General features: G+C 40.8%; 2 protein-coding genes across 11 annotated transcripts in view; one reads left to right on the top strand and one right to left on the bottom strand.

Moving 5' to 3' along the window:
* CENPP (centromere protein P) overlaps positions 1-21315 on the bottom strand; it is a 295062-nt gene that overhangs the window by 95612 nt on the left and 178135 nt on the right. The gene's annotated exons all lie outside the window — the stretch shown is intronic.
* ECM2 (extracellular matrix protein 2) overlaps positions 1-21315 on the top strand; it is a 65560-nt gene that overhangs the window by 34189 nt on the left and 10056 nt on the right. For 4 of the 8 annotated variants that reach the window (XM_047422899.1, XM_024447436.2, XM_024447435.2 and 1 more), the window contains 6 exons: positions 2025-2343; positions 7043-7231; positions 9715-10287; positions 12792-12907; positions 14884-15019; positions 19228-19385. In XM_047422899.1, coding sequence (XP_047278855.1) covers positions 2052-2343; positions 7043-7231; positions 9715-10287; positions 12792-12907; positions 14884-15019; positions 19228-19385 — 1464 coding nt within the window. In that variant the 5' untranslated portion in view covers positions 2025-2051. Of the gene's footprint in view, positions 1-2024; positions 2344-7042; positions 7232-9714; positions 10288-12791; positions 12908-14883; positions 15020-15257; positions 16095-19227; positions 19386-21315 lie in introns of those variants that run through there. The other 4 variants (NM_001197296.2, NM_001197295.2, XM_017014376.3 and 1 more) reach the window with 3 other exon arrangements.

Genomic DNA, 21315 nt, shown 5'->3' with positions numbered 1-21315 from the left:
TGTAACATCACCTTGAATGTTTTACCATTCCTTCCTATCATAGATTTGTTCTGGTTGGCAAAGGAGACCAAGGTATGCCTGTGAGAATTGAAATAAATTTCATCACTGAGCAAGTTAGTTACTTTAACCTTCTAGAATCACCAAATACCTTAAATTCCCATTAAAAAGATAACAGCGGCAAATCTGTTGTGATCTGGGTTCTTATGATCCCTGGGGTTTTAGTTTCTCCTCCATACTGGCTGTGTAAGGAAGGCTTTTCATCTCAGGAAACACTGACAGTGAGTGGACCTGAGGCAAGAGCAGGAGGAAAGCTGCAAGGGGTATAGGTGTGTGTATGTGAGTATGTGTGTGTTTCTCAGCTGTAGAATTCTGAGAGGCAGTCAAAACTGCCAACCTTCCTTTGTAGGACTAACTTTAGGCCAAGAGAGATTGGCTGAGTGAATCCTTTGATGACAGCTGCTGCAACACCTTGATGGAGGTTTCTCTTGTCCCTGGCCACCAGACTTCACAGGGATTGCGCCAGTCTGTCTGACCATAATGCTACTACTGTACCAAGAGTGCCTAAATATTCATTTCTTAAATGTTTTTCAGCTTTACCATGTGCAAGGCCCTATACTAACCCTGAGACCAGCTAATTAAAGAGTTACTCTTCCTGACTCTTACCTCCTTATAACTGATGCTATTGACTGTTATTTTTATATGGCACCATCACGCCCTTCCCCCCAGACAATTATAAAGCTAGAGAATAAAAGCACAAAACAGAAAACGGCTGGGAAAATGGGTTGTGGATTACATCAGTCACAGAACGTCTTAGCAAACAGGTGGAGAGAAATCTCCCAAGTAATCTTTGAAAACCTGCAGAACAGTAGGGCCCAGAGAGGGGGCCATGTCTGATCCACCACCTTTACTGGTAATGAGTTTCCCTGGAACACATCCATGCTCATTTGTTTACAAATTGTTGTTGGGGAAAAGGCTTATGGAGTGCCTGCATAAACTGGCCATAAAAATATGGGACAATAAGTTGTGGAAAGCCACAAGAGGTCTCTGAGGAGGAAAGCCTTCTTATCGCCGTTATGTTCCCATGCTCTGAGTGCAACCTGCTCTCTTATCTATAAACACTGTGCTCAAGGAGAAAGACACTCCTCTGAAACACTGAAATGTGGACAGACGTACAGGCTCCTAGTTAAGCCCGCTCCTACTAGCTACTCTCCAATAAGTTAAAGATATGCTGTTTAAGCACAAAGGAGATTCATTTAAACCGCTACTGCTATAGATTACGCCTATGACATGCTGCCTCCCTTTCACTGTTTCGCCCTAAACATCTGCTTCTTAGATCTAAGTGATTGTACTCAATAAATCGTGTGGAGACCAGAACTCTGGGCCTTTTGCAGCCTCCATTGTGCAACTGGCCCCCTGGCTCCCATCTTTATGAACTCTTAACCTGTCTCTTCTCTTCCTTTGTTGCCACAGGGCTTTGGGTACCCTATGGGTGGTGTTGAGGCTGGTCCCCAACATATTGTCTATGGCTGCTTTCATGCTACAATGACAGAGCTGAATAGGTATGACAGAGAAGGTGTAGCCTATGACGCCTCAAATATTTACTATCTGGCCCTTTATAGAAAAAGGTTTCTAATTCCTGGTCTAAAGATAAAGGTAAGATACAAAAAAGTTCTGAACAGGCATGGTGACTCATGCTGTAATCCCAGCACTTTGGGAGGCCAATGCAGGAGGACTGCTTGAGCCCAGGAGTTCAAGGCTGCAGTGAGTCATGACTGAACCACTGCACTCCAGCCTGGGCGATGGAGCAAGACCCCATCTCTATTTAAAAAAAAAAAAAAGTTTTTTGATTCTGATAGAAGAATTCCAAATTATGATTTGGCAATAATACTATAGCATATAGTCCATATATCATAAGTGTAATTTCTCAAAGACTTGCCTACTGAGGCATACAAGCAAATATATAAGCCAATTTTCAGAAGTAAAAATTTAGTCACCACTAACTTTGAAATATTGTTTCATTCTAGAAATTGGCTGGTGGAAAAAAATCAAACATGAAGATTGCAGTTTTGTTTTGTTTTTTTCTGCTTATCATTTTTCAAACTGACTTTGGAAAAAATGAAGAAATTCCTAGGAAGCAAAGGAGGAAGATCTACCACAGAAGGTTGAGGAAAAGTTCAACCTCACACAAGCACAGATCAAACAGACAGCTTGGAATTCAGCAAACAACAGTTTTTACACCAGTAGCAAGACTTCCTATTGTTAACTTTGATTATAGCATGGAGGAAAAGTTTGAATCCTTTTCAAGTTTTCCTGGAGTAGAATCAAGTTATAATGTGTTACCAGGTAAGAGAACACTATGAGAGAGAGACAGAAAGAGGGAGGAGGGTGAGAGATGGTATGGGGAAAGAGAAGGAGAGAGGGAGAGAGGGAGAACATCTCCATGAAGATAATTTTCTAAAGAAAAATCCAGGTTATTATATTACTTTTTGGTTTAATCTACAAACATACATTTTAAAATAATTTAAAAAATAGGGCCAGGCGCGGTGGCTCACACCTGTAATCCCAGCACTTTGGGAGGCAGAGGTGGGCAGATCACGAGGTCAGGAGTTTAAGACCAGCCTGGCCAACATGTTGAAACCCCGTCTCTACTAAAAATACAAAAAATTAGCCGGGTGTGGTGGCATGTACCTGTAATCCCAGCTACTCGGGAGGCTGAGGCAGGAGAATCACTTGAACCTGGGAGGTGGAGGTTGCAGTGAGCAGAGATCACACCACTGCACTCCAGCCTGGGCGACAGAGCAAGACTCCGTCTCGAGATTAAAAACAAAACAAAACAAAACAAAACAAAACAACCCCCAAAAAACCAAAAACAACTTAAGGAACACATTTATAATTATTAGACAAAAATTACTTATCCTACCACTATATTTACAAAATCATAGTTATCATTTTGGTTTCTTTCCAGTATGTTTACTATGCATATATTTTAAATAGTTGTAATCCTAACATAGATAATATACATAAACATTTATAAACTACCTTTCCATTTATAACAATAGATCATCTAGAATACAGAAATAAATTATTCAGATGATTCTGTGAACATATGGCTATTACATATTTTCAACCAAAAATTTTCAACCACAAATAGAATTAAAGCCACTGAATTGATTTTATATAGGTTAAACCACTGACTTTTTAAAGATTTAAAAGACTAAAAATTCTGCTAAAGATTTCAATTAGGCATTTTTAAAAACGTATTAAATGGTTTACATTTTTCCAAATTTGGAAGGAAAAAGTATATTATAGACATGTTACCACTAAATAAAACTTTCAAAAGAATAACAGAAAATATCACCATATAATGTTCTGTGGCCAGTATTTCATATATTGTCTCAATACAGCTAAATGCTTCTTCGTTAATTATTTCCATGTATTTAACAGAAATAATATACAATTATCCTGAAAATAGGCAATTTAGGCCACACTTACAACATGATTGGGAAAAGAAAGGAAGAGAAATCAACTTAAAAACATTGTAATAATAATGTACTCATAACTGCTAAAGAAAGATGAGGTCAATTTTTTTAGTTAAGTGGAAAGATGGCTAAGCTATAATAATGGAAAACAAAAAGGCTGAAAAAGAAGTATTCATAATGTGATCTCAAACTTGTTTAAAAAAAAGTTTTTATATGTACTAAAGGGTGGTATGCATAAAAGTACAGAAGATATATACTAAGTATTTCCAAGTTGTCCGAAAATATTTTCCAGTGATCTTACAGTACTTTTTGATTGTATCACCACACATAACACAAAATTTACCATTTCATCCATTTTAAAGTGTACAATTCAATAGCATTTAGTACATTCACAGTATTGTGCAACCATCACCACTATCTTGTTTCTGCACATTTTCGTCCCACCAAAAGGAAACTCTGTACCTAAACTCCCCATTTCTCCCCACTCCCAGCCCTTGGCAACCACTAATCTGTTCTGTCTCTATGAATTTGCCTATTCTGGAAATTTCATGTAAATGGAATCACATAATATGTGGCCTTGTGTATTTGACTTCTTTACTTAGTATAATGTTTTTAAAGTTCATCTATTATTAGCCTGTATCAGAACTTCATTCCTTTTTATGGCTGAATAATATTCCATTGTATGGCTATACCATATTTGTTTATCCATATTGTCTACCAGTTGATGAACATCTGGGCTGTTTCCACCTTTTGGCTATCATGAATAACACAGCTATGAACATTAATATAAGTTTTCTTTCAACACCTATTTTCAATTCTTTTGGGTATATACTTAGGAGGGGAACTGTTGGGCCATTTGGTAATTCTATATTTAATTTATTGATGAACTGCCAAATGTTTTCCAAAGTGGCTATGCTGTTATATGCCCACCAGCAATGGAAGAGGACTCCAGTTTCTCTACATTCCTGCCAACAATTGTTATTTATTTTTAATTATAGCTGTTCTTGTATGAAGTGGTATCTCATTGTGCTTTTGATTTGCATTTCCCTAACAACTAATGATGTTAAGCATCTTTTTATGTGCATGTTGTCTATCTGCATATCTTCCTTGGAGAAATATCTATTCAACCCCTATGCCTATTTCTTTCTTTTTTTAAGAGATGGGGTCTTGCTCTGCTGTCCAGGCTGGAATACGGTGGTACAATCATAGCTCACTGCAGTCTTGAACTCCTGGGCTTCAGTGATCCTCTGCCTCAGCCTCCCAAGTAGCTGGGACTACAAGAATGCACCACCACACCTGGCTAACTTTTTAACTTTTTCTGTAGAGACAGCATCCCATTATGTTGTCCAAGCCGTTCTCAAATTCCTGGCCTCAAGAAATCTTCCCTCCTTGGCCTCCCAAAGTGCTGGAATTACAAGCGAGAGCCACTGTATTGGGCAAGTTTTGCCCATTTTTTTATTGCATTGCCTTTCTGTAGTTGAGTTGTAAGAGTTCTTTATGAATATTCTGGATATCAGGACCTTATCAGATATATGATTTCACATATTCTCTCCCATTGTGTACACCATCCTTTCACTTTCTTAACAATGTCCTTTGATGCAACAAATTTTTAATTTTGATAAAGTCTAATTTATCTTTTACTTTAGGTGTCACATCTAAGAATCCACTGCCAAATATGAGGTCATAAAGATTTTCCCCTATGGATTTTTCTAAGAGTGTTGTAGTCTTAGCTCTTATATTTACAGCAAAGGTCTAAATATAAGATATATTAGGTCTTTGATCCATTTTGAGCTAATGTTTGTATTTGGTGAAAGGTAGGGATTCAGCTTCATTCTCTTGCTGGTGTTGTCCCAGCACTAGTTGTTGAAGATTGTTCTTTCCTCCACTGAATGGTCTTGACACCCTTCTTGAAAATCAATTGTTCATAAATGTATGTCTGACTTTCAGTGTTCCATTGGCCTATACGTCTATGCTTATACTAGTATCACACTGACAAAAGCTGATTATCATATCTTTATAGTGAGCTTTTTGAAATCTGAAAGTGTGAGATCTCCAACTTTGTTCTTTTTTCTCAAGATTGCTTTGGTTATGTGGGATCAACTTTTCCATTTGAATTTAAGGATCAGCTTTTCCATTTCTGCAAAAAAAGGCCATGGAAATTTTGATAGAGTGTAGTGCTTTTGATAACCTGGAAGAAACTCATATGTGTATTTTTGTTCAGAGGAGGAATTGGGTAGGTGGGATTAGCCTATTGCAAGTATTCGAATGAGAGATGGGTAGGGCCTGAATTGGGCTGAGTTAGTGGTCGGGGAAAGGAGGGGACTAATGTGAGAGGCTCATTTGGGGGTGGAACTTGGGGACAGTGGCTCAGATGGAGGAAAGTTATCTGGAATGACACCAGGGTTGGAAGAAAAACATCCCCTCTAATATTCTCCTCAGCTTTCTAATGGCCTGCTTAGCTGATACACTTATCCACATATCTACAATCTTGTATGTAGGGAAATGAATATATGCACTGCATCATGAACTTTATTTGTTTATTTATTTATTTAGGGACAGTCTTGCTCTGTCATCCAGACTGGAGTACAGTGGAACGATCTTGGCTCACTGCAACCTCCACCTCCTGGGTTCAAGCGATTCTTATGCCTCAGCTTTCTGAGTAGCTGGGACTTCAGGCATGTGCCACCATACTCGGCTAATTTTTGTATTTTTAGAGGAGATGGGGTTTCACCATGTTGCCCAGGCTGGTCTCAAACTCTTGGTCTCAAGTGACCTCAGACTCCCAAAGTGCTGGGATTACAGGCATGAGCCACCGTGCCCAGACAGTATTATACACTTCAAAAGGGTGAATATTATAGTATGTGAATCATATTTCAATAGCATAATAAACCATAAAAGACATAGCTCAGTGTCTCATTGAGAAGCACCACGGAAGCATGCTGTCTGGTTTCACCTATTCCCATGTGCATATCAAGGGTGGGCTGTGAGCTCATCATTAGTGCTAGCTCAGCTCTCTGGTCACATGAGGGAACTGGATTGGCTGGCGGCTTGGGAAGTCTGGTGTGGCCATACGATTTGCTTTGGTCAGTATAATTAGACACTTTAAGAGCTCATGTGTGATTTGTAACCTCACATTTCCACTACCGCAGTGATCAGGACAGCCTGCTTATAGATGAATCCTGAGTGAATATGATGAGCTGAGCCCCTGTGTCCCCACATTAGACACAAAGTATAAATGAAAAATAACTGAGATTTGGGGATTGTTTGTTGATGTTGTATAATTTAATCTATCCTGATGGATACAAAATGGAAGCGCAGTTCAGCCCCAAGTTACCATGAGGAGTTCACTCTTAGAGCCTACGTGAAAGGGCTGAGAGGAGAGCCTGTGAAAAGCATTTCAGCATTTCTTATGTCTATACGACATCTTTACCCTATACATGAATGCACATAGAATTCTATTCTTGTGTGGTTAGAGCAGTTTGACTTCACATTGTGTTTACTTCCATTCACAGTTACTGATAATCACATAAGAAATTTAAATTTGTGCTTTTGTTTTCTTCTAGGAAAGAAGGGACACTGTTTGGTAAAGGGCATAACCATGTACAACAAAGCTGTGTGGTCGCCTGAGCCCTGCACTACCTGCCTCTGCTCAGATGGAAGAGTTCTTTGTGATGAAACCATGTGCCATCCCCAGAGGTGCCCCCAAACAGTTATACCTGAAGGGGAATGCTGCCCGGTCTGCTCCGCTACTGGTACAGAGATTTAGCTAAGCAAAATATCAGTGTGTGATTAATCTTTAACTTCCATTTGTTTTTGTTACTAATTTTAGATTAAAATTATGATACATTAGTCAGATCTGAGTACTTAAAATATTGGCAAAATGCTGATTAACATAGAAAATATCTGGGAAAATGTATGGTAGGGGATATAAATAATAGACTGTGGCTTTATAGTTCTAGCTCTATCAGATTCAGTAAACTTGGATGAGATTACATTCCACATTTGACTCTCAGCTTTAGAGATATGGTAACAGAATTTCTACAACAGATCCTGAATTCTTATTGCATTAAGGGCTCTGCTTTGGTCTATATGTGCATTATCCCACTTAATCCAGTGCAACGTGCCTTTATCATCTTGAAGCCAGGGTAAACAAAGGAAGAGTGATTTGCATCTAAAGAGAACAAAGCCCCAACCCTCTGGCTATACCCAACCACTCAAAGGCAGCACAGGAACCCACATCACTGCTTGGATAATCCCAGGAAAATGCAGAAAAAGTGTAGCCTGAAGCATGATTTTCTCATGTGGCACTTCTGTGTGCAGGAGATCACAGCGCGGGTTTTGTTGGCTGCTCATGGACCCCTTCTCCAATGAGGCTCATACCTGACTGAATGAAGGACCCTTGGGAGGGAGGCCCAGTCTCCTCTGAGAAAAGCCTAACCAACACCTTATGAAAATAAGCAAATAAATACTTGTTAAATAATTGGCTGGGAAGGGATAGGGACATCTTCTCTTGTCTATAACCAAGGTAGATTGCTCCCATGCACACAGATGATCACAGGGTAGGTGTCTACAAAAGTCTCCTTGCCAGGAAAAACTTTTGACTATTTAGAAATTGTGTTTTGCGTTATACTACCAAATATTTCACTAATATTTAAAAAGAGTTAGGAAAAAAGTGTTCAATGAAATGGATTCCTTGGAGTGAAATAAATACAAGGTTTACAAAGTAAGAGTCACAAATTCTCAGAAATTTTTTCAGAAGACTTGGAGTATTCTTGAAATGTAGTTATTTTGGAAAAATAAACTTGGATATACAGGAAGGATTTTAAATGTTTCAATATGATAGCTTTAGTTTCCTTTTACTAACTTTTTCCTATTCTTCTGCATGTTTTGCTAGAGATGTGAAAAAATAATTCACAGACTTTATAATACATACTGAATTGATATCTCAAGTAATTTCTCCAAATAATTATATTTCCTGAGTTCTTTTTGGGAGTAGTTTATATATAGTGTTAAATAAAAGTAGGCAGATGATTAAGTAAATTTTTAAATCTTGATGGAAGAAAACGTATGCACTCTGGCTGGGCACGGTAGCTCACACCTGTAATCCCAGCACTTTGGGAGGCTGAGGCGGGAGGATCACAAGGTCAGGTGTTCGAGACCAGCCTGGTCAACATGGTGAAACCCCATCTCTACTAAAAATACAAAAATTAGCCTGGCATGGTGGTGGGGTGCCTGTAATCCCAGCTACTTGGGAGGCTGAGGCAGGAGAATCGCTTGAACCCGGGAGGCGGAGGGTGCAGTGAGCCGAGATCATGCCACTGCATTCCAGCCTGGGCGACAGAGCAAGACTCCGTCTCGGGGGGGGGAAAAAAAAGTATGCACTGTGAAATCAGTTCTTCCTAGAACTGTTTACCCAGAGAGTGAATTTGAATCTAGTCTTTGTCATGTCTTCCCCACTTTCTGCCAAAGACTTAACAGCTAAATATAAATGTAGATTAACTGTCTACTATCATCTATTCTACTCCCACCATCATGGAAGGATAAACAGCACTCCTGGGCATATGTCTAAGTTAAAGCAACATCACTTAAGTCCAGAATGTCATTTGTAAGTCTCAGGTAGTAAAGATGATTTAAGTATAGAGTCTGGGACAGAGAAGGAGGAAAACTCTCTCTCTATAATTCTGAATTTCAGAGGATGATGTTATGATGCCATGGACAAAAATAATGACAAATCTATAAGCAAAAGTTGGTTTCACTGCTATAAGCAAGTAAAATATACACCTGTTTCACTTTTCTAATGTCTGGTAAACAGTCTGCAAATTCTCACATTAGCAATAGCCCCAGTGAACAGAACAGTATCTATTATAAAGGTATCACAACTGATTATAACACAATCTCACAACAGGATTGCTTACCATTTTGCCTCATGTGGCAATATTATTCCCTCCTTAGTCACCAGGTATCATGATATGTTAGCAAAAATAAGCATTAAGTTATTTAATATAAAAATTAGTATTAAGGCCCACAGGTGAATAAAATGTAACAGATATTACAAAATAGAAATAAAGTGACTATTAAAACTTTTTAAGCAAGAATTTCAAGGTGCATTTCATCTTTAAATTGCACTCAAATACTTGGAGGGAATAATATTTACTAACCTCATTTTCATTATGGTTTTTTCTTTTATTAATATCATCAACTTATCTCTGCTACCTCATCCTTGCGTGGTCATTAGTCTCCTATTCTCTACTCAGTGGTATAGCATTAAATGATAGAAATGAATTTTCTGGTGATTCTTCAGAACAAAGAGAACCTACCAATTTACTTCATAAGCAACTGCCACCTCCTCAGGTGGGAATGGACCGAATAGTAAGAAAAGAAGCACTTCAATCTGAGGAGGATGAAGAAGTGAAAGAAGAAGATACAGAGCAAAAGAGAGAGACCCCTGAATCTAGAAATCAGGGGCAACTTTACAGTGAGGGGGACAGCAGAGGAGGAGACAGAAAGCAGAGGCCTGGAGAGGAGAGGAGGCTGGCACACCAGCAACAACGCCAAGGAAGGGAGGAGGAGGAGGATGAGGAGGAGGAGGGTGAGGAGGGTGAGGAGGATGAGGAGGACGAGGAGGACCCGGTAAGAGGAGATATGTTCCGAATGCCCTCTCGATCCCCGCTTCCTGCTCCTCCCAGAGGCACACTGCGCCTGCCAAGCGGGTGCTCTCTGTCCTACAGGACCATCAGCTGCATCAACGCCATGCTTACCCAGATACCACCGCTGACAGCACCACAGATAACAAGTCTGGAGCTCACTGGTAAGAGATGTTGACTTCTGCTTTATTTTGTGCTTTAAAAGTAAATGACTCTTAGCAGCTGGGCACGGTGGCTCACGCCTATAATCTCAGCACTTTGAAAGGCTGAGGTGGCCAGATCACCTGAGGTCAGGGGTTTGAGACCAGCCTGGACAATATGGTGAAACCCCATCTCTACCAAAAATACAAAAATTAGCCGGGCGTGGTGGGGCATGCCTGTAATCCCAGCTACTCAGAAGGCCGAGGCAGGAGAATCGTTTGAATCCAGGAGGCGGAGGTTGCAGTGAGCTGAGATTGAGCCACTGTTCTCTAGCCTGGGCACTTGAGCGAGACTCCATCTCAAAAAAAAAAAAAAAAAAGTAAATGACTCTAAGCCACATGCAGTTGTATACACTTGTAGTCCCAGCTACTCAGGAGGCTGAGGTGGGGGAATGGCTTCAGCCCAGTAGTTTCAGACTAGTCTAGGCAACAGAGCGAGATCCTGTCTCTTAAAAAAAAAAAAAAAAAAAGTGAACGATTCTCATTGCTCTGTGAAGACTGTATTTTAATTTCATCCTAAAAATTGATCCTGAATAGACTAATTTCATAATCTTCAAATATATAAACTTTGCAGAAGAGATAGCTGTTTACTGCAGAATAGCAGTTAGGTATAAAGCAAACTCCTCCAAATCAAATGATGATTTCCTACTGATGTTTCTTAAAAATCAGCTTTAATGAGGTATAATTTATATGTAGTAAAACTTATTTTTAGTATATAGTTCTGAGTTTTGACAAATGCACATAGTCATGTAACCACCACCAAAATTAAGATATAGGACATTCTATCACTCCCCAAAATTCCTTGTTTCCCCCTCCACCAGTCACTGGCCACCACAGAACACTGATCTGTTTTCTGTCTCTACAGTTTTGCCTTTTCCAGAGTGTCACATAAGTGGAATCATACAATACATAGCCCTTTCAGACTGGCTTCTAATGTTTTTGAAAGCCACCCATTTTGTTTTGTGTATCAGTAGTTCATTCCTCTCTTCTGCCAAGTAGTGTTCCATCATGTGGATGGGGCAGGGTTTCCTATCAGTTAAACGTCATCTGAGTTGTTTCCAGTTTGGGGTGATTATGTATAAAGTTGCTATAAATATCCACGTACAGATGTTTGTGTGGACCTAAGTGTTCATTTCTCTAGGGCAATGCCCAGGAGTGGGACTGCGGATATGGTAAATACATGTTTAAGTTTATAAGAAAATGCCCCACAGTTCTCTAAAGTGGCTGTTCCTTTCCCACCTGCATGCTGGGGAGCTCCTGCCTCTCTGCAGCCTGCCCGCACTTGGTACTGTCAGTTGTTTTCTCCCTTCCTTTTTGACATTCTAGAGGGAATGTGGTCATCTAGACCTTCTGCCCATGTTTCCATAGGACCACCAGGGAGGGCTCTGAGTGGAACAACAGCAGGACCAGGTGTGAGAGGCTGGCTGGTGGGGACACTTTGGGTGCTGGGAGCAGCAGGAGCATTCGTCTGGGTAATGAGGCCCCCATGCCACGGGTGTCCCTGGAGATGCTGGGGTGAGGGAAGCTGAAAAGGTCAACACATTTGTGCAGAGATGGCCATCTGTGACAGCACACTGCCAGTGTCAAACATAATAGAAGCTTCCATGGCCTCTCTGACAAAGGATTTCATCCTACTTTCATATGATCACCTAAGGAACTCCTCTCATGCTCAGGAAAGTCCCTTCCTCCTGTGGCCTATACACCAGGTATGCTCTGCCCTAAGAAAACCCCATTTGTGAAAGTCTAAAGCCTTGGAAAAGATAAATGACCCATGCTGAGCTACACTGTTATGGTTTTATAAGAAGGTCACCACGTGGCTTTTATGGTATGTACTACTGGTATGCTCACTTTCCGGGTTTAAAAATTGACTACTGAACTTAACTAAATGTTAAAACAAAAACCTATAAAATTAAAGCATACAGGAACCTTTGTAGATTGAAGCCGTAGAGGCATAACATTAGATCTGAGAGAGTCTGGGAGATGATCTCCCCAAGCTTCTTATGCAGAGATGGAGACAGGCTCAGAGGAGGTGAGTGATTGGCATGAGCATTCATGGACAAAAACAGAGGCATGTTTCTAGTCCAGGAAAATGGCTATGGGAAAATATGAAGAATAAAAATCAGTTTCTGTGTAACCTTCCACACCTTTGTTGTAAATGTACAATGTTACCAGTACTCTCCAGCAGACCACATTCTGGCTGTGTTAAGCACCTTCATCTAAACCATGATATATTTACAGCTTGATGAATCCTTAGAGAGAAAATGTCAACTATGTTAAACCATCTATTTCCAGCTTGTTACTTTTCTGAACATGCTTTGGTTATATAATATATATTCTGTCCTTGTTCTGAGTATTGCTTTCTCCTCCAGACAAAGCTCTCTCTTGATATCTATGCACACATGCCCATACATGTGTGTACATGTATGTATATGCACACATGCCTAAAACATAACCGCTGTGTGTCCTAGGCAATTCCATCGCCTCCATCCCAGATGAAGCATTTAATGGATTACCAAATTTGGAAAGGCTTGATCTGAGTAAAAATAATATCACTTCTTCAGGCATAGGTCCAAAAGCATTCAAGGTAAATACATGCTCTGATTTGTCTATTTGGATGAATGGCTTCACTATGACTTGCATTGGTTGGAGATGGGGAAGGGAGGAAAAGGAAAATGCTTCTAATTGGTAGTCTTCTTCTAAGAAAGTTTCCTCTCTGATGTCCCTAATTTGAATTCAAGTTTTCCCTTGAATATAGTTTACTATTTTACATACTTTTAGCTTTGCTGTAAGGACACCAACAATAGCATCAGTGACAAAAGTAATGATTTTAATTTATGGAGTAGTTTCTTCCCAAGTAACTGAAAACATGCTAAAATCTGGTCTTTTAGCATCTGAAGTATTTTCTGGAAACAAATTGAGCCTATCTGGAACCTCTGTTAACATTTTTCAGGCCAGCAAGACACTGCTTCCTTTTTTTGTGTGTGCAATCAACAAAACCTGATGGAGGATACTTTGGCAGAAGGGGGTTCTGGAAAAACAAATAGGCTCATATAAAAATTAGGGATAGCTTGGGGAAGAAGAGGGAAAGAGAGAGAACAGGAAACAGCACAGAGTAAACCTTTGAAAGATACAGATTGGACTAATTATATATTTAAAAAAAAAAAAAAACAGGCCAGGCACAGTGGCTCATGCCTGTAATCCCGGCACTTTGGGAGGCCAAGATGGGCGGATCATGAGGTCAGGAGTTTGAGACCAGCCTGGCCAACATGGTGAAACCCCGTCTCTACTAAAAATACAAAAAATTAGCCGAGCGTGGTGGCATGCACCTGTAGTCCCAGCTACTCGGGAGGCTGAGGCAGGAGAATCGCTTGAATTCGGGAGGCGGAGGTTGCAGTGAGCCGAGATCGCGCCATTGCACTCCAGCCTGGGCGACAGAGGAAGACCCTGTCTCAAACAACAAAAAGGAGAAAAGAAGAGAGAATTCAAGGAATTTCAGAGCCAAGAGAAAAGGGGTTTATGTTTGTAAACAAAAACTCATAAATGTGTATGTTTGAAAAGCCAAAAATAAAGCACACTATATTCCACTAAGTGAAACTGTTACTCCCTTGGGCAGTCTTCTGGGTCTTCCACCCACTCTTCAGACAAATCACTGGTCTCTTCTATTCTCATTTCCTGTTTCTTATCTGGAGTCTGGCAGATAAAAGGGTTCTACATTCACACCCTAGATCTACTTCATGCTATCCATCCTTCTTCTAGAAAATGGCTAGCATTAGGGGGTCCTTTTCCTATTTGTCCAAGAGAAAAATTTGTAAGAGATTACCTCCTTTTCTTGCTTTGGAATTCTCTGTCCCATTCCGAAACTGTTGAAATTTGAATATGATCACTGGAGAAGTGAATCATTCCATGGGACTTTACTAAAACCTACCCAACCACAGGTCCCCACTTGTGGGGGTACAGGCTAGGTTTGACCAATGAACACACAACTACAAATGTGAAAAAGACACTTTTCCAGACAGTCAACTGGATGCCATATTGGAATGGCTTGTGATATCTGTAGTCCTTGGTTTTGAAAAATTTCCACAGTAATTAGTGTTATTTTATGACCTTTCTGGAGTAGATAAAAAACTGAGGTTTACAAGTATGTTTAAAGGATTGATTGCTATCTTAATTGTTAGCATCCATGACAGCTTCAGATTACTGCATGATTTCATAAAATTTCTGTCTATTGCTGTAAAGGTGGAAACCTAAGATCTAGCAAGAATGACCAATCCAGTAGTTATGGCAGCTTTCTCTCACTTTCTAAAGCTGCAATATAAACGTGGTGAGTAAGCTACAAAATAATCAAATGTAGTCTGCTGAAAATCCCTGAGAATCAATGCTATTACCAGGATCAATATCAACCTGGCAGGGGGAATAAGGGGTTTGCTGTGTGGCCTGGACATTACTGTCTAAGCCTAAGGAAGGATAGGTTTGTGAGACTTTTAGTCACGACCATTATATGAAATGTGACTGCACAGCTGTGACTAGATAAAAAAGTAACTTTGAGATTTGCTTTTTAAGCTTCTGAAGAAGTTAATGCGTTTGAATATGGATGGAAATAATTTGATACAGATTCCTTCACAATTGCCATCTACATTAGAAGAACTTAAAGTCAATGAGAACAATCTTCAGGCTATCGATGAAGAAAGTTTATCAGGTATTTAATATTTGTTTTTCAATGATATGCTTCCTTATAATCTTTCCTATATAGTCCTGTAGAAATTTTATTTACTGTATTGCCAAATGAATAAATAGTAAATATTTTTAGGTCACTTAACCATTTGAGTTGATAAAACTTCTTTTAACTATTGACTGGTAAAACGTAAAATGAATTTTAAACTGCCTATTGTCTTTGTACCTTACCCATGAATAACATTGTTTCTCAATGATTCCAGGTTCTTATTATTCACAAGGCAATAAATTTACTACAAATCCAAAATATCTGAAGAATTACGCTAAATATTCCCTGCACTGCCATGTGTTTTGTGTTATGGATCGACAATTTTGTCGGTTCTTTGTAGCGACTAACCAGTGCCATGTTTGTTGATTGGATCTCCTTTATCACTCTGATGGTCAACAGACCCCACCCACAACTCTTGCTGCCTCCATACACCTTGCTATTTTCATTTATCATGTGTTGGAACCTAAAAACAAAACTAAGCACATGGGAATTATGCATGGAATATGAATAAATGGGCACTGCATATGCGGCTGAGATGCTGTCCTACAAAGAAAGCACATGCTCTTCATGGTATTAACTTTGACTTTGGCAATTTTCTGCCTGAGAGGGCTTGGGCTGGAACTTCTGTACTCATATGTCACTGAAGTCCTGCTAACTCCACACCCCACGGCATGTGGATGCAAGGCTCCCACCATGGCCTAGCTTTCTGACAGCCTTTAGTGAGCGTGCCCCATGTTCTGTGCACTCGACATTGCTGGAAATGGCCCCTCTTCTGCTTGTTTCGGGACTGTGCTAGACAGCTGAAGTTGTCATATTGTGACTCTGTATAGAAGAGGCTTTATCACATTTTACTTTTCATGAATTCTAGCTAATGCCTTTGATTGTACTGTGTACTTTTTTGAGACAAGGACTGCCTACCTTTTCTTTTTATCTTCCTAATAGTCTAGCATAGCTCTTGAGGTACAGTGCTCAACACTGTCTGTTTCCTTGCTTTGAAACATATTATGTTTTTATTTATTATGTTATTTATTAAACAAAGCCTTTAAAGGAATAAAACAATTCAATTATTTCCTGTAGCTCCCAAAAAACTTCACAGGAACAAAACACTTCTGGTATTGAGAAAAGAACAATAATAATGAGAATTGCCAAATCTGAGGATTAGTTATGGAAATACTCAATTTCCAGATGGATTTCAGGACACACAGAAAAACATTAATAAACACAAATTTTGATGCAGACTGCCAAATGGGAAAGACATTAGAAAATTCAGTTTCTAACTGCTGAAGACCAAAGGGTGTCAGCAATTTAGAACAACTGTACTAACAGGCTGTATATGAACTATAAGTCAGTCACACTTTTAGTTGGGTTATCAAAATGAGATGTTATAAAACATGCACTCCTGATTGTGAACGTGCTTTCACACACCCCTGGAACTGCCTTCCAGAGTACTCTTCTCCTCCCTCACTCACAAATGCTTCTAGATTCCCAGAGTGTTGACAGGAAGCCAGGGTGAACGGGCTGTCTGCCTGCCTTTCTTAGCCCACCTTTCTCCACAGTCCGAGCACCCGAGGAGCCTCGGCCCCATGCCGGCAGTGCTTCTGTCCTCCGGCTCAGATACCCCCGGCTGCACTCCCTGGGTGGGCTGAGTTCTAAGAGCTACTGCAGTACTGGCCCCTCGGGTGCTGGGCTCCCCCTGGCTGGGAGTCCTGATGCTGTGGATGGTCAGGCTGGCTGCCAGGAGTGCTGTGAGGGCACCCTGCTTCTGTGTGGAAGCAGGTGGCCCACTGCTCTCCCGTCATCTCTCTTGGGGTGGCTCCTCACTCATGACCTTTCAGATTATAGCTCCAGAGAGGGGGAAGGAGGGCACTCCAGGGAGAGAAAACAGCACAAAGATGCAAATAAATGAGACAATTTGGGATACTGTGGGAGCTGCAAGCAGGCACGGTGAAGGTGAAAGGCAAGCAAAGAGCAGCACAAGGGGCTGCACACACCTTGCTGAAGGGCAGGGAATTTACCTGCAGGAGGAGCAGAGTCCACCTGAGATGTGCACACGTGTTATGGAGAAAGGGAAGGACTTACAATTGAGAGAGAGGTGTGAAAGGTGGAGGGAGGGACAGCTGAGGAAAACCAGGCACGCTTTAAAAGCATTTTTGTTGTCACTAATGACTGAAACAACTAAATCAGGAGCCCTGGAGGCTGCTCTAGTGGATGACCATGTGATGCTGCCTGCCAGGAACATCGAGGCACCTGCCATGTCCACAGCCTGTCATGGTACCACCCACCATGGAAGACTTCCTGTTTCCTGTCCATGAATCCTTTCAACATCCACCTCAAGTCTCACCTACAAGAAACGTTCTCTAGCTCCATCCTATTTCCTGTTACCTCCTATTTCCTATATATACCAGAGAATAATTGCAAAAGAAAACACAGTGTCCTGAATTTGCACTGTTTCTCTCTTTTTCTCTCAGTCATGTAATGGCCACTAGTTCATTTCTGTTATCTATTTTTCAATGAAAAACTTCCACTGCATTTCAAAACTTCACCTATGTACTAGAGAAAGATGTCAGATTCTCAGTACCTTTAGTTTTGGAAATGAAAGAGAATATGAGGAAATATAACCACTTATCCCAATTTACTGGCTGGCCTGGCTACTTCCTGTTGCTCAGCACTTCCATTAATCCTGAGCACCACCACCAGGTTAACCTTTGTAAAATGTGGCCCTTGTCCTGCCATCCCCATCTTGCTGCCTAGAGAATGAGAGCCAGACGTTGTTGTCCAGGGTGCAAAGGCCCTCCCAGAATTAGCTGAGTGTGGTGGTGGGGGCCTGCAATGCCAGATACTCGGGAGGCTGAGGCAGGAGAATTGCTTGAACCCGGGAGGCGGAGGTTGCAGTGAGCCAAGACCACGCTATTGCACTCCAGCCTGGGTGACAGAGCAAGACTCTGTCTCTAAATAAAATAAAATAAAATTTAAAAAATGTAAAAAAAGGCCCTCCCAGTGTACTTCTCTCTGAGCACCAACCTTCACTCCACTGTGCACAGCCACTCCAGGGCTAGTCTCCTCTCTCCCTGAGCAAACCCACATGGTCTTTCACCTACATGTGCTCAGCTGGCTATTTCAGCTTGGAAGTTCCTCCTACTTCTATCTAAATCTTTCTGTCTGTAGGAGCCTGGCACTTTCATACCACTCACATCTACACTGCTTTTTCTTCTTTTAATCTTCCAGCATTTATTATTTCTATTCCTGATGCAACCGTCTTTGCTGTTGCCTAAGAGCAGAACGGAGTCCCACATGGCATTCGGTGCAATGCCCATGAAGGGGGTTGAATAGAAAACATCCCCTAATCTGGGAATTTTGGCCACACCCTGAGCCTCTGACTCAGATGCCTTTGGGTATTATCATTGCTGAGCTGTCCATTTTGCAGCACAGAACTTCCATTTGACCTGGATCATACCACTCCTGAGACTAGTAGAAACAAAGTAGAAAAAATTTGTTTGTATAAAGGCCTTTCTTGCTAGTTCAATCTGAATGCATGGAGAATTTTTGATCATCATTCTTTCAAAGCTTCCATTTGGCTGCACTCTGTGCCAACAAGTGAGTAACTATGATGGGAATTCACTGTTCTGGTTTACTTCTGACTCCCTTGTTCAGAGACTGAGGGTGAGCCAGGGAAAGTGTTCTTTTCTGTGTCCTAGAAAAAGAAATCATTCATTGCATTAAACTTCTACCCACCCCATTGCCTATTATGCTGCCACTTCATACATCTATGTCTTTGCAATGTTTCCAATGACTGTCCACAACTTTCTATTCCTTTCCTACCTGAATTCCAAATCCCTGTTCAGCCACCACAATTTCTATGGAAACTCCTCTGCCTCTCTTTCCTATCTCCCTCCCTCTCTTCTCTCTTGCTTCTGTTCCTTACACATATTGTTAGCACCTAGCATTTCAATGATTTTTTTCAGGTCTGCCTCACTACTGGACCATGCATTTAGTTCTGGTTGAATTGAGCATCTGGGATGTACAAAGTACTTAAGAAAAGGTTTTATAGGAGGATACAAAGGTTTAAAAAAAACTGTATTTGCCCTCCAAATAAACCGGCCATTTCACATGACATTTCAAAAGGCTACAAAAATTTGCATGGTTTTTCAATTATCCTAATATTCTAATACTTTTATTTTTTATAGACTTAAATCAGTTGGTCACCTTAGAATTGGAAGGAAACAATCTCAGTGAAGCCAATGTCAATCCTTTAGCTTTCAAACCTTTGAAGAGCCTAGCCTACTTGCGTCTGGGAAAAAATAAATTTAGAATTATACCGCAGGGTCTTCCTGGTTCTATTGAGGTAACAATATATTTTTTTAGTGTTTTAAATGTATTATATTTGAAATATGGTACACTACAACAAAATATATTTTAAGACTATTGTGATGTAAATTAAACTCTAGTTTCATGCTGTATACAGAATTTCCTGTAATTTAAGCATTGTTTTTTCTTCAAGCAATACAAAATTCTGAATCGAAATTATAATTACTAGTAGAGACACCTGATACAGTGAAAAATGGTACTTCTGATAGCTCTTGGGGGAAATGGGAGAAATGAATTGAGAATTTAAATGAAACCACAACTTCCATGAGGTACTCTGACTCTCAAGACAGTGTAAACTGCCCCAATCTAGAAATGTGACGCTTATCACAGAAGCTCAAACAGGTATTAACCGTAACAGAGTGTCCACTCACAAATTCCAGGCAAAACCACAGACACTCTGACCTAACAGTAACTTGCATGGATACAAGTGTTGTACAAAGAAGGCCTCTGACTGTTTCAGCAACTCTGTAGCTTACAAGTTTTCACCCAGTTCCTACCAAAACTGTCCTGTGACTAACTCCAGGCCCCAAACCCCAGCCTTGCTTCATTATCCTCTAGAGATGCCCCACAGGTCCCCAGATGTGTGGTCTCCTTGCTGCAGGATGTGCTCCTGGGGGTCTTTGGCTGATGAATGTCAACACCCCTCATTTCCTGCGTTAAAAACACTGAGGTGGACCGTGCAGTGGCTCACGCCAGTAATCCCAGCACTCTGGGAGGCTGAGGCAGGAAGATGGCTTGAGGCCAGGAGTTTGAGAGTAGCCTGGGCAACATAGTGAGACCTTGTCTCTAAAAGATATATTAAAAAAAAATAGCCAGTCATGGTGGTGCACACCTGTAGTCGTAGCTGCTCAGGAGGCTGAGGTGGAGGATCACTTGAGCCCAGGAGTTTGAGGCTGCAGTAAGCTAGGATCGTACCACTACACTCCAGCCTGGGCAACACAGAGAGACCCTGTCTCTACAAACCACACCCCACCCTGCCTGCCAAAAAGAACACTGAGGTCCAGAGAGTCTATACATACTGGCAGACCCCGTGGGAACCCAGGTTTCCTTACTAAGCTCCGTTTCTCCTAGACCACATGATCATCCAGCCAGAAGTCAGGATGGAGCATTCTCCGGCTGCAGCCCCAGCAAGCCAGAAAAGAGGGTCATCTATTGTGATCTTATGTGGCTGTCATGGCTACCACCCTTCCTCTTCTTCCTATTTCCAGATTAAGTGACAGAGTTATGTAACACTGACATTTATCAGTAGGCTGGCTTTCCATCAGAATCTCCTGGGTTCTTAAGAAATACAGACTCTTGGACCTACCCCAGATATGCTAAGTCAGATTCTTTGTGGGACAGGGCCAGAAATGAATAATTAAAAAATTAAAATTTAAATAGATAATGCATACACATGTTAAAACACATACATACACAATGAGGATAATACAAAAGAGCAATCTGCCCCACTGTGAGCCTGAGCTTCCCATACTGACTTCTCTCTCTCCAGAGGGATCCACTCCTACCAGTCTGGAAAGCACTGGGCATACAAGCGCACAAATGCGTGGCACATACTACAAATCCTTCTAAAGCCACTGCTGTACACCTGCCTCACTTAACCATGCAGCCTCAAGGCTGTCTCATGTCATTCTTTCCTACAGCTGCAGAGTTTTCAACATATGGACAGGTGTGCCAGGATTTATTTGACTAGTCTCTTACTGATCTAGCTCACCTCCTAAATACATATGCAGGTAAAAGCAAAAAGTTGAAAATTGTTTTACTAATTTCTAACAAATACCAAAATTAACAAAGAGGGAAATTCTCACAGGTGGAATAGAAGGTGACACTAAAGATATATGCCAGTTTTACCTCTGAATTCTAACAAGAGAACAAGGAGAATTTTTATAATGCAGATCCTTTAGTGAAAA

Source organism: Homo sapiens, chromosome 9 (assembly GCF_000001405.40).
Source record: "Homo sapiens chromosome 9, GRCh38.p14 Primary Assembly".
NCBI classification, from domain to species: Eukaryota; Metazoa; Chordata; class Mammalia; order Primates; family Hominidae; genus Homo; species Homo sapiens.
The sequence above is the reverse complement of the archived record's forward strand: the minus strand, read 5'-3'. Positions and strand labels throughout refer to the sequence as shown.